At 38.6% G+C, this 12,841-nt stretch overlaps 1 protein-coding gene across 6 annotated transcripts in view; it reads right to left on the reverse strand.

The window, feature by feature from the left end:
- Nucleotides 1-12,841, reverse strand: part of FGF13 (fibroblast growth factor 13) — a 590,297-nt gene that overhangs the window by 20,133 nt on the left and 557,323 nt on the right. For all 6 annotated transcript variants that reach the window (NM_001139498.2, NM_001139500.2, NM_001139501.2 and 3 more), the window contains one exon: nucleotides 598-796. In NM_001139498.2, the coding sequence (NP_001132970.1) occupies nucleotides 598-796 (199 nt within the window). The remainder of the gene's footprint in view (nucleotides 1-597; nucleotides 797-12,841) is intronic.

The following is a 12,841-nucleotide window of genomic DNA, read 5'->3' on the forward strand; positions in this document are numbered from 1 at the left end:
AGTAGCATTGGATCCAGCAATCTCACTCCTGGCTAGCTACTGAAAGGAAAATAAGTCATCATATGAAAAACACAACTGCACAGGTATGTTTATAGCAGCGCAATTCACAATGGCCAAAATATGGAACCAACTTAAGTGCCCATCAATCAACGAGTGGATAAAAAAATGTGGTATATATATACACCATGGAATACTACTCAGCCATAAAAAGAAATGATATGATATCTTTTGCAGCAACTTGGATGGAGCTGGACGCCATTATTCGAAGTGAGGTAACTCAGGAATGGAAAGCCAAATATTGTATGTTCTCACTTAAGTGGGAGCTAAGCTATGAAGACATAAAGCATAAGCATGATATAATGGACTTTGGGAACTTGGTTGGGGGGAAGGTTGAGAGTGGGGTGAGGGATAAAACACTACATACTGGGTACAGTGTATACTGCTTGGGTGATGAGTGCACCAAAATTTCAGAAATCACCACTAAATAGCTTGTCTATGTAACCAAAAACCACCTGTACCCCCAAAACTATTGAAATTTAATAAATAAATAAGTATATTTAGTAGCATAATCCATAGTTCCCACAATATCAAATGTACCTTTCAGTGGTTTAGGCAGAAAATGAGCTGCAGGCTTGTTCTTCTTCACATGGTTGCCTTTCATGATCTCTCCTTCTTTGTTCAGACCCAGATACCACCCTCGGCCTGACTGCTGCTGACGGTATATCATTGATGAATATGTCACATAATAATTTTCAAACACTGATTCTTTGAATTTGCACTCAGGTGTGAAAAGTTCCTGCAACAAAAGTAAATAAACAAAAGTTCAGTGTTTATAGCTATGAATTTCCTGTAGAATCATGTGGTATTGCCTTTTAGGAGATTAAGACATACTTTGTAAAAGCTCGTGTGACTGGTGCTCTATTTTAATAGCATAAACTATCATCATTGGAAACCATCAGACTACATATAACATTTCACATGATGCTTTAGAAAAAGTCATAAGTGAAAGTGCTATTGATCAATGATTAGCTCTCTTTGTAATAGGTAATGGGAACATTAGAACAAGCCACATAAGTGAAATATATTGGACAACTACAAGAGCCAAGGATTGAAAAGACAAGCATAAAACTGACACATGGAGCTTTGTTCCCTTCAGGGTTCAATATGAGAAAATAAACATTCGGTCCTTGTACTTAATTTTCATGGATTCTTGAGTTATTATACACTATGGTTGTCAATTGCCTCAGGCTGAAATCTGTGTTACAATGCTTTCTGCCTATATTTCTAAAAGAATGCTACAAAGAAAGCCTACCTTTTACTTTTAGGTAAACCAAATTGATTTTTTTTGGATCATTGGACCTTGACTTGAGACAGAAAGAAAAATTCCCCCCTCACCCCATCCTTGCCTTACAGTAACATTTACATGCAAATCAATACAAAAGCAAGGAATTTACAGCAATTTTACTAGCAGACACGATAGAGCAGCCCAGTGGACTTTGAACTCAGGAATATGGTTTTCTGTCATGCATTTGGCCATTTTTACTTTAGACTGGATTTTTCAAATGAAGGGCTCCTGCCCTCAATAGACCATTTCAAGGAAACAAACAAACAAACAAAAAAACCAACAACAACAAAAAACCTTTTGTGTGTTTGAGTGTACACGTGTCTATGTGTACAATAAACAGCCATTAAAAATGATAATTTCTAAGCTAAATGAAATGAATAGTAGATTTGAATGTATAAGTAATCCATAGAGTAGCAAAGGGCCTACTTGGAGTGGAAGATTATTAGGAAAATGCTAAGTGAGCTACATGTCATAGAGGCACCAATTAAACTATCAGATTTTTGCTAATTTGCTGAGATGTTATCAGGAAAAACACTTGGTACTATCACCAAAAACATGTATACAAACAAATATTGCAAGCTTTCTGGGGCACTAGTCTTTTAAAAACAATGTCTCCATGGTTCTACCTTCCTTTATTTTTCATATTGGATACCATTTTAAGCAATACACACTAGCTGAGCAGCAACATCTGAAGCCCTCTCAGTCACTTCAGCAAAGAGGGATATATTCCTCAGGCAAGGCAGCTTTTCTCTGAAATTTAAGCACTCAAGCAATTTCCTTTCCTTTTTTCTGGGATTCTACAAACAGTGTTTCACACAGTAATCTGCCTAATCTCCCCCCATCTTCCCAATCTGGCTCCCAGAATGCACGAACTGAAGTATCTTTTGGGGTTATTTCAGCCTAGGGGCACACTCGATAGATGTTCAGAGGATTCACACAAATTCAACCTACTCAAGAAGCAATGTACTTCTAAGGCAACTGTCACATGTTAGGAACCAAAATGTTCTATTTATGGGCTGTGAAAACTCCTCTTTGTAGGATTTCTCAACATAGAGAAAGCCAAGAAAGTACCAAGAAATTTGACTAGAAGTCTCCACATTTCCTTTAGTGATGAGGACAAGTACATAGAACGTTGCTGAAATTCTTTGGGAATTAAATCACTGTACGGAAAAAAGTCATCATTGGAGAATGGATTTTCCTTTCATAAAGAATCAAACCATTTTGAAAATATATCTGGTGAAAAATGCATATGATCAAGGCAAATGATACCAAATAGCCACATAAACAATGTATGGCTGACTCCAGAATGGTGAGATGGGATCATTGCATATTCTAAGTCAGGTCCCAAAAATGGGCTGCATTTAATGTCTTGTGTGATAGCAGCATTCATACATTCATTTAATACACATTTTCTAAGGATCCATTATGTAGTTGATCGGTGCTAAATATTCATAGGTAAGTAATATGTGGCTTCAGACAGCTTATCATATATTTGTAGGTATCAAGCATGTACACAAATGTCATAGATACAATGTGTGCTACCATAAGGAAAGAAAGGGAGGCTTACAGGAGGTGCTGTATGAAAACAGAAAAAGCCAGACTTAATTCTGACTGAGGGACTAGGGAGGGATTCACAGAGAGGGTATCATTTTAGCCGAGCTTTTCAATACAGAAAACAGGGAAGAATAATATTTGAAGCACAGGGCCACACTTCCTCTACTTTTCCTGTGTTCCCTGTCTTAGTAACTGGAATCCACCATCCTGGCAGTTGCTCACTTAACACTTCAGAGGGCCTTTCATTTCATTCCTGTGCCCTCTAGTCCGTGATCCATGACCTTCACCTTCCATTCCCAATGCCACTGCTCTACTTTGCGCCTTATTACCTCTTCACTGGACTGCTGTCATAACATCCTAACTGGTTTCTTCTCTTCAGCTGGCAGGTTTGCTTTCCTAAAGCAAAGTTCCCTTCCTTGGGAAATTTTGATGATTTCACCTTGCCTATAGTAAAAACAACAAACAACTTGATGTAACATTTAAAAATTCTCCACAATTCAGTCACTACCATGCCTTCCAGCGTCATCTTCCAGTGTCATTCACCACAGAACCATGTGTGCCTTTGCGCTTTACTGATGCCATTCATTTCCTTTGCTTAGAATGTCATTCCTTTGTTTCTCTACCTACTGGCTTTCCTCTAACCCTCCAAGGCCTAGCTCAAATATGACTGTTTCCAGAATCACATATAATCTCTCCCAATCAGAACTGATTACACCTGTTATCTGTGCTCCCATAAACTCTATCTACATCTCTAGCATGGCCCTGTGACTCATACAACTGTATGATTAGCTCCAGATGGTAGGGAACTTGTCTTATTTTTTCCCCAATCTACCTTCCCCCAACAAAAATGACACGTTAGCACATGGCAGACCGCTTGATTATTGTTTATGTGATTTGAATTTCAGAGATTCAGATTTAAATATTGGAAATTCTAGGACTCAGAATTATCAACTAGTAAAAAGTCTGCAGGGATTTTCCTTAATACCATATCATGAAATCAGCTGTATGTAAAATGAGGCTGTCACTGCATGGACAGATTCTGCAAGTGTAATTTAGTATCTGGCACCTATAACGTGGCACCTATAACATCAGGAGAAAATCTTGGCAATTGTTACAACTATTGAAAAATGGCAAGGAAGGACTCAATGAACTGAATGCTCTGTCACATCCTGGCAATTTCTTAGTCATCACCACTAAATTTGGACTCAAAAACTCAGTAAAGAGGGAGAAAAATGAGGCCAAAAAAAGAATGCTGAAGCAACCAAAGGAGTGTTCTGTTCTCTGTGTATGACACTGTCATTTTATCCAGTGTTGAGTAGGCAGAAGAGGCTTGATTTTTATCAAATGTGGAAAAATGTGAGCATGTCACCCAACACAGGCAGGTCCACCAAAAGGATACAGTTTCACCCCTATGTCTCTGCAGTGATTCATATGAATAATAGAAATTGGATTTGTCCCAACCCACGAAATCCCTGTTCAGAGGAGACTAAGTAGATGTATGCCAAGGAACCAACCTACTTTGACTGATCTGGAAGATGCTCACTAGTGCCCTGGAAGAAGGTACCATAGCGCTCTTGACACATGAGAGGCACTAAATAAAGGCAGCAATCACTGTGTTCTGGATTTAACAGGCACTGGATAAATGTCTGCTATTGTCGTTAATGCATGAATGAGTTAAAAAGATGTCATGCATTCCCTGCATAGTTACTGAGAAATTACTTGACATGAGTACAAAATAAAAGATGCTTTAAGTCTTCTGACCTTTTATGTGTTGATTTCTCTTAAAAGAAATGTATGTTTGGCATATCTATGTTTTTTCAGAAAAATAACAACTTTTTAGTTAATGAAATAATCAATCTGTCTCTAATATCTTTCCTCTGTATAATCATGTCTATTTCTCTTGCAGTTCAATGTTTGGTTCTTCTCAGTGAATACTGAACCTTTTATTTAAGAAATTCATGGTGGCTCATGCCTGTAATCCCAGCACTTTGGGAGGCTGAGGCAGGCGGATCCTGAGGTCAGGAGATCAAGAGCATCCTGGCTAACACAGTGAAACCCTGTCTCTACCAAAAATACAAAAAAAAATTAGCCGGGCATGGTGGTGGGCACCTGTAGTCCCAGCTACTCAGGAGGCTGAGGCAGGAGAATCACTTGAACCTGGGAGGCAGAGGCTGCAGTGAGCCGAGACTGCACCACCGCACTCCAGCCTGGGTGACATAGCGAGACTCCATCTCAATAAAAAAAAAAAATTCTTATCAGTTAGTATCATTATAGTATAATGATAATATTTTGGATAAGGAATGAGGAATCTACATTCAGAGAGTAGGTGGATCCAGGAGCAAAATCTAATACTCCTTTTTACCAATGTACTCACATTATTAAGGAGGAAATAATTCTTTGGAGGTTGAAATATCACTGACAAGAATAAAACATTTGAACCCTAAACACCACATCTGTATAACATATTGGGGAATTGTTACAGCCACAGATGTTAATGATCAGCTGCCCTTCTCAGGGCATATTAAGACCTCCACACAGACTTTAGAGAGGCAAGTAAAGAATGCATTAGTGCAACCAGTTATGTTGAATATATGGAAATAACCGCAAGACCCAAAGGTGTGCCAGAAAACGTTTTTTCCCCCGAACAAAGGCTTGGGAGCAATATAAATTGTTATTCTCTGTTACAGTCAGAAGAAGCAATAGTGGCCTGGCTTGCCCCTGGCACCGAGGGCAAAGTATGGACAGAGTGTAGTATCTCTTTGGCCTCCCGGAGCTGGAGCCAGGTTAATAGACGAGTGGGCTGTGATGATGGCTTCCCTGAATTGAGCCAAGTAAGGACCATGTCAGTCAGCAGATGGTGTGTAGCTATATCTTCAGTAGCCATACCAAAATGATGAGAGCTAAAATATCTGTAAAACATTTATGTTGTTTCAGCGTCTTAAACACATCTCCAATACCAAAAGATACACACCAAGACTAAATGCCTTCCTGATGCAAATAAGTAATTTGGCAAACATAGGCCTTAATAACAGGTTTTTCATACTTTTTTTTCACCCTGCTCTTGTATTTTCAGCTATAGTGCAACTGATAGGGTGGCACTGTTTCATGTGTGTCCGTATCTCAGCAGGATGGGAGGCTTTGAGGATTGCCATGCAGACTGTAAATGTTTCCCTTTAACACATTTCTCTCAAAAACATATTTTTTTTTTACATGGGCTGCACTGATTCCCTTGGATCTGGAGAGAACAACAGAGGGTACTGAAGTTGTCCATACATAAAATGGGAACACTAAGTCCTCAGCCTGGCGAACAAAGCCTGTGATGGCAGTGTTGCCAAGTGCACACATCCTGGTATAGATTAATGTGTCTCAATACATTTTGTTTAATTCACATGTAACATTTTTTAAAGCAAGAACCATAGAACACAGAAAGAAAAACAGTTGATAGATATTATGAGTAGGCATTTAAAGAATGTTTCATAATGAACCTAGAAACACAGTTTCCTCTTTTCAGTAGGTTTTATAAACCTATTTTAACTAATCTACCTTTTCCTTCTATATTCCCACCTCTCTCTTCTTCTCCTCTCTTCCAGTCACATTTTCAGTAGCCTGATCATTCCAATTAATTGAACAATTACTGCCAATAGCAAGGGTCACTCTTCTAATTCTGAGCCATGTTCCGATGATAATTAATTTTCCAGATTAAAAGTTAGGTTATTTAAGCAGGTTTGACTTGTGTACATCAATTATTCCCCAGCCTAATGAAATTAATATGCAGATTAAAATTAGATTTTCAACTCTGTTAAAAAACTTGAAACAACAGAATCTTAAAACATAAATCATGCCCATAGGGGTGACAATGTAACTACCTATATTCTCTATACAGGCTTCCCCTCCACCAGTGATTTCAAAATCCAGGACTAATTATTATATTTAGGGCTTTGATGTTCTCTTCCAGGGTATATTTGATGTGAATGAATTTCATTATTACTGAGATCAAAGCATGGGAAGGGAGAGACTGGGGAAGAGGGAATCAATACTCACCCAGTGCACTGTAGCTAAGCAAAATTATTAATTCACGATAAACAGAATATGGATTGCTCACTCAAATATCTGCTGGACTATTAGATACTTGAGGGCAGCTCCTAACATAAGGGCTGGCATACAGTAAATTATCAATACATACCTAGTGAAACAAATAAATTAAAAATAGAATATATGAAGAAACTTTGGAAGCTCCCTTGTGTAAATCCAAAAAAGGGTTAAATGTGGCACTACATTTTCCAATGAATAGAGGACTATTTTAAAGTAGATACAGGCAAGTCAGAAACTTGCCTGTGAGAGCAGAAAAAGTAGGCGATCAAAGGAGGAAAGTGGCCTAGAGGTAAATTCAATTTCAAAACTGGAAAGGATGAGAGAAAGGGGAAGGAGGGGAGGTATAGAGAAAAGGGGGAGAGGGTGAGGGAGGGAAGCAGGGAGGGAGGGAGGGAGAAAAGGAGGAAAAGAATAGAGAATAACAAAAGCAAAACAATACTTAAGCAAAAATAAAGAAATTCCTAATAATCCTGACATAGGCAAGAACCTCATACTCCTGGTCTTTTTGTCTGCAAATAGTTAAGTGTTTCAATTAAATTCTATTAGACCGATTTTTGTAAAATGGTGAAAAAAATCTACCAGTTCTGCTGATCTTACTGGTTGTTGTATGAGGATGCAATGAGATGATCTAGGGTGAAAGAAGCTCTGAATATTGTAAAGCTCCATAAACATGAAATGTGGGATTGCTTCTGATAATACGGGCCCAGAAATCAAGGCCAAATAAATAAATCCACTTTTCAAGATTCTTTTTCACTATGGAATCAATTTACAAAAAAAAGGCCTGGCTATATGTGTTTTATTAACATGGAAGAATATAAATTCTATCAAAAATTAGGACTGTACATGAATTACACTTTGTGTTCAGCACTCTCCTTCAAGCTTGGTTCTCAGAGAACTGTTTTGCCTCCTTTCATTTTTCATTTCTGTCTGCAATAGGCTGAAATGGCTGCAGTAATCCAAGCCATAGCACTAAAGAAATGCAGTGCTTAAATAAAAGGGCTTCATGAAATACCATGCCACAAAATGACTTAAAAATACACAGGTTAATTAGCAACGATTTCTAAAGAAATGCAAATTGGAATTAAGAGTATGCACATTGGGACTATTTTGCCTCATATGGTTACACTGAATTCTTTACCAAGACTTTCTATATTCCTAGATATTTCATAGATATTTTAATTTACCTTATGTTGGCCCCACAAAATATGTCAACACAGTGTTGCTTTTTCTCCTTAGTTCTTCACAAACAAAAATAAGAAAACTATTCAGGAACCTGTCAACCAATGGACTGCTGAAAACAGAGCTAGGACTCAGATATGACCATATTTCAGCCCTGGAGTTCATTTAGTCCTCTATACTGAATTGTTCTGGATTTTCATATATTTCTCTAAAGCAATGTCATACAATGGATTACCCAGGCTCTCCATTCTTCCAAAACAATGTTTTATAAAACACACTGAAATAAGCTAGAAGTTAAAGAATGAGAACAAACAAATACAATACATCCCTTCCAGAGGCTAAGATGGGTTATTTTTGTCGTGATACAAAAATTACATGATCCAAACGCCTCACTCTCCTGCAAGACTGGTCAGCAAATACATTTTGACATGGAAGTAGCTTGTTGAGACTCGTGACAAAGAAGAGAGATAGGCCATATGTCTTCAAGACTGTGTGACTGGCCCAAGACTGTGTTAGTCTGACCTTAACCCTGCAGAAGGATACGGATTGTTTAGGCAATCCAATTAGGTGGCAGAGGGTGTAATTCATTTTACATAAAATATGTTCTAGAGAGACTGTGTGAACTGTTGTATATTTTAAAACTTATTAGGGCATCTCACTGTTTAACAGAAATCTGTGGAATTTTTTATTTCAAGCGAAGAACACTTCTCTAAGGTGAATAACCCCCTAAAAAACCCCCTATTAACCTGCTTATTATGTGTATTAATTCAGTATATTGGTTTTTTTAATGGCAGTGTTGATCTATGTGTTTTGAAAGGTGAATCAAATATCAGATATGATTTCTAAAAACAAACCTTCTAGTCTTTTAGCCATTCTCTGTAATTAATTTGTGCCTATTGGATACATAGTCTCTGCTACTATGAAGCTTTCTCATTTGTGGCAGTCCTCTTCTCTGTACTGACTTCAGAGTGGGATCTAAATCCAGCTGCAAGAATATGAGTTCTGAAGTACATGTTATCAGGAGAACAAGCTTAGTAGGTTGTGTCTTTTTAAATAGCTGTTGCAAGCACTTGACTAAAAATTCAAAGCTTAGGAGCTCTGAAAAATTTTCACAGAGATCCAACCAACTGTCATGCACAAGACAAAGGTCCTTTCCTCCTAGATGAATTGAAAAGCTCTGGCAAGGCCTATTAAAAATAAAATGATACCAAGGTGGGTGCATATTATATTCTTGTACCTCAGGATTTTTTTTTTCTTTTCTTTTTTGAGATGGAGTCTCGTTCTGTTGCCCAGGCTGGAGTACAATGGCATGATCTTGGCTCCCTGCAACCTCCACCTCCCGGGTTCAAGGGATTCTCCTGCCTCAGCCTTCCAAGTAGCTGGGATTACAGGCAAGGGCCACCACACCTGGCTAATTTTTGTATTTTTTTAGTAGAGACGGGGTTTTACCATGTTGGCCAGGCTGGTCCCGAACTCCTGACCTCAGGTGATCCACCTGCCTTGGCCTCGCAAAGTGCTGGGATTACAGGTGTGAGCCACCGCACCTGGCCAGGAATCTTTGAGAATCACACTTTTGACACACATTGGATAGCAGCTCTGTTACATTTGGTAGGGTTTGTCTCTGAAGAAAAGTGTCACAGTAATTAGGAGTCTGCTTCTTCAAAAACTTTGAAAGGAGACTTTCTTGAACAAGTAGGAAAGTAATGCTAGCCAACAGCAACTGCTCAAATGGAAGTCACTATAGCATTCTTTCTGCTGCAAAACATAAAAGCTGGTGTCACAGGGCAAGGTGCAAAGGCCTCATCTATAAACCAAGGATTTGAATGGATGAGAATGGTGCTGCAGAGGACTATTAAACTGCTGCATCACATTACATCTGCAAATGACTGCTGAGGATAACAAGTGCTAAAGAGAGGAACCTTTTTTATGAAGAATGCATTTCTACTCATCAGCCCCTTGAAAGGAGCTACATGAGAGGATGCTAGTGGCAGTCATTTGTCACGAATCTGAATGGAGGGAGCCAATTTATTCATTTGAGACCCAAATAGAAGAATTAATTCTAATCTAGGATTTAATGAAAGCCTACTGTGTCCCAGGCACTGTGACAGCCCCCTTTGAAATATATAACAATCTGCTTTACTCTTGAAGGCACCTCTCAGTAATTACTTCCCTCTGGCCTGAGAGGAGAGTTCCTCCCACCTCACAGGTGAGAAAATCACAGCAATGGTGCCCTTAACAAGTCATTTTTAAAATAAACTCAATTGCAAGTGCACCTTTTCACCCACAGAGTAGTCACTGGGTAGACAACAGCTGTAATGCCAACTCCCTTCTAAATGCGCAACTTCAACGTTTGCTGAAGGCTCAGCCCTCCCTCCTATTTGTGTGCCCTGGCCCTTTTGAAGAGCTCAGCTCAAAGTTGCCTCTTCCACTTCCAAGTTTTCTGACTGTAGGCAATTCGTGTGTTTTCTGATCCTGCATCTGCAAGATGGGGACAGCATCATGTGCTTCATACGGAAGATCACAGAAGGCATGGGGAAGCAGTTAGCTTAAGTGGAAATGCTCGACAACTACCAGATCTCTTCCCTTCCTTTAACTTTCCATTTGTGTGATATATAAGAAAATGTAGTATTCTCCCCACCCCGCAACTTGAAATTGGTATAAAAACTGGTGGTGGTCAATAAAAACAGAGAAGAAAAGCACCTTTCCATTTCTGTGAGGGGCTAATGCTACACATTAATTGTATGTGTGAGAAATGCTTACAGTAGTGATTCCTTTTCAAGGATGACAATGCATGAGCCTTTGATTTAGCGCTTAAAATATTCTAAGAATCTAATACTAGAATTACTATAATGTGTATCAGTGAGACCACATGATAATAAAGGGATTTGTGAAATAATTCCATATTAATAGGCCAGATGACATTTACACATCTCACTTTAATTACTATGCTACAAAACTACAATGTTATTATCTCACTTCTTTTGTTCCAAACCACTGTTTTACTAGTTCTACTTTCATAATGTAGATTACTAATAACAATAATGAAAAATATAACAGTATTTTATGTTTAAGCAGTGCCTACATTTAAAGTTTTCTACAACTGCTTGAATAGTTATGGCATTCAAGTGACAGGTAAGGGACAGTTTAACAAAAGTAATGATAACAAAAGTAATGATTATAATGGGTTTTGGTAGACTTTTAAAAAAATCTCTAAAGAGCTTGTTTTAGAGTCAAAGAAATGAAACAAGAGATGCTAATACACTGGAACCTGGCATTAACACTTTCTGCTGGAGAACTAATCCAGTGCAGGGAAGCAGCTCCTTCTAGAGGAAGCTGGAATCTGTTTACGGTAGCTGGTACTGGCATGTGATATTTCTGGGGCTGCAAGACACTGAAGATCCAGGAGCTCCAACTGATCCTGAGTTCCAGAGGGTAGGAAGAGGTCTGACACAGAGCAGAAGCCAAGCCAGGCAGCCTATCCCCTAGGCCGCTTCTTTTTCCATTACAACGGGCAGCAGCATTCCATTTATCTTATATAAATCTGTCCACTTAACATTCTCCTAGATCATGGCATGAAAAGTTCACTCTTCTACTGCAAAAATACTCACAACTGAGTTTGGGCACATGTTGGGTTTTTTATTTCCAGTGAACTCTACTCTAGAGGTATTCAGGAAATGACCCTAGAGCACCTTTACTGAAATTAGGCTTCTGCCTTTTCAGGTACAGACGCAGGTAACACATATAAGGAGATATATAAATTATTTAGTCAGATTCGTGTGTGTGTATGTGTGCACTCACATGCATACATACATGAGAGAGACAGAGCGAAACACAGAAATACAAAGCGGAGAAAGACAACAGAGAGTGAAAACACAGAAAGTTAAAAAAATGGGCCATTTGCTTTCCCCAATTCTATAAACCTGTGGACTTTGAGAAATATCCACCACCCTCACCCGTGAATGTTTAACGGGGAAGGCTGGAAAGTAAGTTGTCTCCCCTTTGCTGGAGAAGACATCTCTTTACTGTCCAAACTCCCAGCTGTGCTCAGAGCTCAGGGTGAAATCCGATAGGCTGCCCAAGGTAAGTAAAGTTCTTCTGTAAAGTTAGTGTCTATAGAGGAGCCAAACAGAGGAGTAAACATATTTCTTCCTGGAGGTTTTCCTATGCTTAATGCACATCCATCTCTGGGGAAAAAAAAAAAAAAAAAAAAGGAAATCCAGGACTCTTGAGAAGTTCAAGATTGGTGCAAAGAAATCCTGTGAAAGCTCATTAAAACAAGACACTTTGAAATATGAATGTCACCATCATAAAGTGAATCACATTTTCACAAGGGATATATAATGCTTACATGTGTAGCTATGTTGCAGTGAACAAGACAACGGTTTCCTATTTACGACTAAACTGCCATCGCCTGTGATGCTGTTTATGATTATCATCTTATATTATGGCTCTACAGAAACCACTGCGGTGAAGCCTGAATCCTAAAAATGCAATGCTTTACGGGAGTGTTTGGCCACGTATCTAGCTACAATTCATAACTGAGCCCCTAGTAGCTTAAATTAAATTTGGCTTGCCTTGTATTTCCTGAAATACTGCAACATTTTATATTAATATTTTAAAAGGATTTTGATGACATTAAATTTTGAAATTGGCAAATTACAGTTCTTTATC

The sequence above is a fragment of the Homo sapiens genome, chromosome X (genome assembly GCF_000001405.40).
Source record: "Homo sapiens chromosome X, GRCh38.p14 Primary Assembly".
In the NCBI taxonomy this organism is placed as follows: domain Eukaryota; kingdom Metazoa; phylum Chordata; class Mammalia; order Primates; family Hominidae; genus Homo; species Homo sapiens.